The sequence below is a fragment of the Homo sapiens genome, chromosome 8 (genome assembly GCF_000001405.40).
Source record: "Homo sapiens chromosome 8, GRCh38.p14 Primary Assembly".
Taxonomy (NCBI): Eukaryota; Metazoa; Chordata; class Mammalia; order Primates; family Hominidae; genus Homo; species Homo sapiens.
This window is the reverse complement of record NC_000008.11, coordinates 24,776,029-24,778,934: the sequence shown is the minus strand read 5'-3', so window position 1 is coordinate 24,778,934 and position 2,906 is coordinate 24,776,029.

The window sequence follows — 2,906 nt, the reverse complement described above, 5'->3', positions numbered from 1 at the left end:
ATTTTGGTCATGTTCCTCTACTATTTGACCTGATTTTTTTTTCTTTATTTCTGTGAATTTCATAAGTATATATACCATATATCATTAGCATATATATTATATATACCACATATATTAGCATGGCTATTCATTGAATATCTATTCCACTATGCTGTAAGATCTATAAGAGTAAAAACTATTTCTACTTTTTTTCAACAACAGATTACTGGTGTCTAGAATATTGTCTGCCGCATAGTAGAACCTCAATATAAATGTGTTGAATAATGAATAATAACTATAACCTTCAAGATCAATAATAGTATAATAATGCAGCTAATATGGATGTGCAAGTTCACTGCTATATCATTGAATTCATCTAATTGCCCCAGAATGATGAGTTAGTGAATGCCTCCTCTGGAAAGTGACCCATGATCAAAGCACCTCAGTGTGATCATATATGAATAAGATATTTTTCCCCAACTACTGAACTCCATTGGGCTATGTGGAACCTACTTTCTCACTGTGTAGTAGGTCCCTTAATAACATCTAGGCAGATTCTAAAACTTATCAGGCTTGTTCCGTTATTAGATCAGTTTCAAGCCAATGTTTATGACTCAGTTCTGTTCACATGAAAATGCAATCACAAACTTGATTCAAAGCTCCATATTTCCTATTTCTGCCCATCTCACTTCAGGCAGGATAAATCTGTCTCTAACTCCATTGTCCTTTCAGAACTGTGGATAATCAGATAAGTGATTAGCCACTCCCTCTCATCTCCCACATGGTTAGTGGGTATCTATACCTCAGGTAGCCTAGACCCCTGTATAACATGAACTTGGGCCTACCAATAAAATGAACTTGGGCCTACCAAGAACACTGACTGCAGCTCTCTGTGACGGCTGGGTTGATATCCCTTCACCAGTATTATTTAGGGTCACTTTTGAGTGGGGCTGCAATGCTGTAGCAGTCTATTTCCTGCTGGCATCAACACAGTTCATGAACCAATTTGTGAACTAGGCCCAAGTTATTTTCCCTATCATCATTTGGTCATAGGAAAACCTAAGGAGGACAGAAGTTTGAGTTAAGATGTAGTCATTTCTACAACGTTGGTAGGTGACCTGACCGAGAGTCTAGGCCAATTTTTCATGTAATTTGTTTTTGTGTTGCGGGTCTGCTTAGACCCAATTCAGAAATACACTTTATCCTATATAATCATTGCTGCTATATGTTCTTTAACTTGTGACTTGATAGATCTAATAATGCCCATAATGGACAGCTTCTGTAGGTCAATTATTTTTAATCTCATGGTCAGAGGCACAGACTCTCCTAGGGATCAGTAGCATACTAAGAGTTGATTTTCAAATGAAGAGTAGTCTCTACTGCAGATGGCATGGCTTTGCTCCAGAATACTATGGATCTGTGCTACAATAGCCAATTGGAACTTGCTAGAGACTCAGTAGAATGTTCTTAATCATCATCAGATTTTTCTAGCAGCAGCTCATGTTCTATTGCTTGATTTGCAAGACATTCTGCAGAGCCTTCCTTTGCTGGGCCCCACTCAAAGTGGGTAAACTTCCTTGCCACCCAATAAATGGATTAGAAAAATATTTTGATAGTGGTGTATGGTACCCCCCCAAATTTAAAGAGGTATTACTGAAACTCTAAAAACTTCATTAATGTGTGATGTCCCTGAATATTTATGGAGTTCATGTAAATCCTGCATCTCTTGTGGAGCATATGTGGGATTCTTCATAGAGTTCAGTTGAATCTCTTTATTGCCCAATTATGTAATGTGAGAAATTCAGCTTTGGCTCCACCTCCTCTTCTGCGCAAGCCTCTTCCCTGGTCTACCACCAGAAACAAACATTTTCTGGAGGAGTTTCCTCATTCACTAAAATACCATTAAGAACGTTCAAGCCCAGCTACTTTTCTGGGTGTGCATGTAGTCCCCCAAAAACCTCAAAAGTCCTTCGCACGTGAAAGAGTAGCCTTGCGGCTTCCTTCATTGCAGTCCACCCTCTCATCTACACCATCTCTCCCCAGTTCTCTTTTCATCCGTGTAAGCAGCACAGGGACATATTGAAAGGGTTACTGTATAACTCAATATCTAAAGAAAAATTCTACTTGCCATTCTTTAGGCACGCCTACTATTCTCAATTCTCTAGGATGCTTCCTTCCTTGGCTTTCTAGGGAGAGAAAAGGGAATAATCTCTCCTCATGATCAACGTTCTCCCCAAAAGACCGGCAATCTATCCCCTTTCCCTAAGTCCTCTTCATATATTGGTTAGTGATGGGTAGCCCTTTCTGTACTGATGCATCTTAGTAAATTTTGCTGGGAAGTGGTAGGTCCAGCTGCTGATACATCTTGACCTTGAAATGCAGGATCCTTAGCATACTTTCCCCCTCAGGTCTGTAACTTAGCGATAGTTTCAGGACAGCAGGAATCATTCTTCTCAACATCTCGTATGCTCAATATAATTGTCCTTTGATTATTCAGGACAAGTCTTCAAGATTGAACTTCATATTAATAAAGTCATGGTATGGCTAGAGATGTGAATTGGAAAAGTAAAACAAATATATATTATATTTGTACCCCAAGCAAGTAAAGTTAATTATATGAGTTGTAAGTGACTTTCTAAAAGATAATGAGATAAAGGATGACTGAATTCAAAGATGAACAGAAATAGATAATTTGGCTTCTAAGACATGGCTTGCTGTGTTTAATTCGTACAGGATCTTAAAGAGGTTGCACTGGGGTTTATTTTTCTGTGGTCAGTGCTGCATCGTTCTTTATGATCTTCCCCCTCTTGGGAGCACTTTATTTGGCCAAAGTCTCCCCAGTTTCTTAATTTTTATCTCAAAGTGTCCTGGAGATGTCATTGCCTATCACAATGAAATACACTGAGGCACTTTATCAGGAAGTCAAA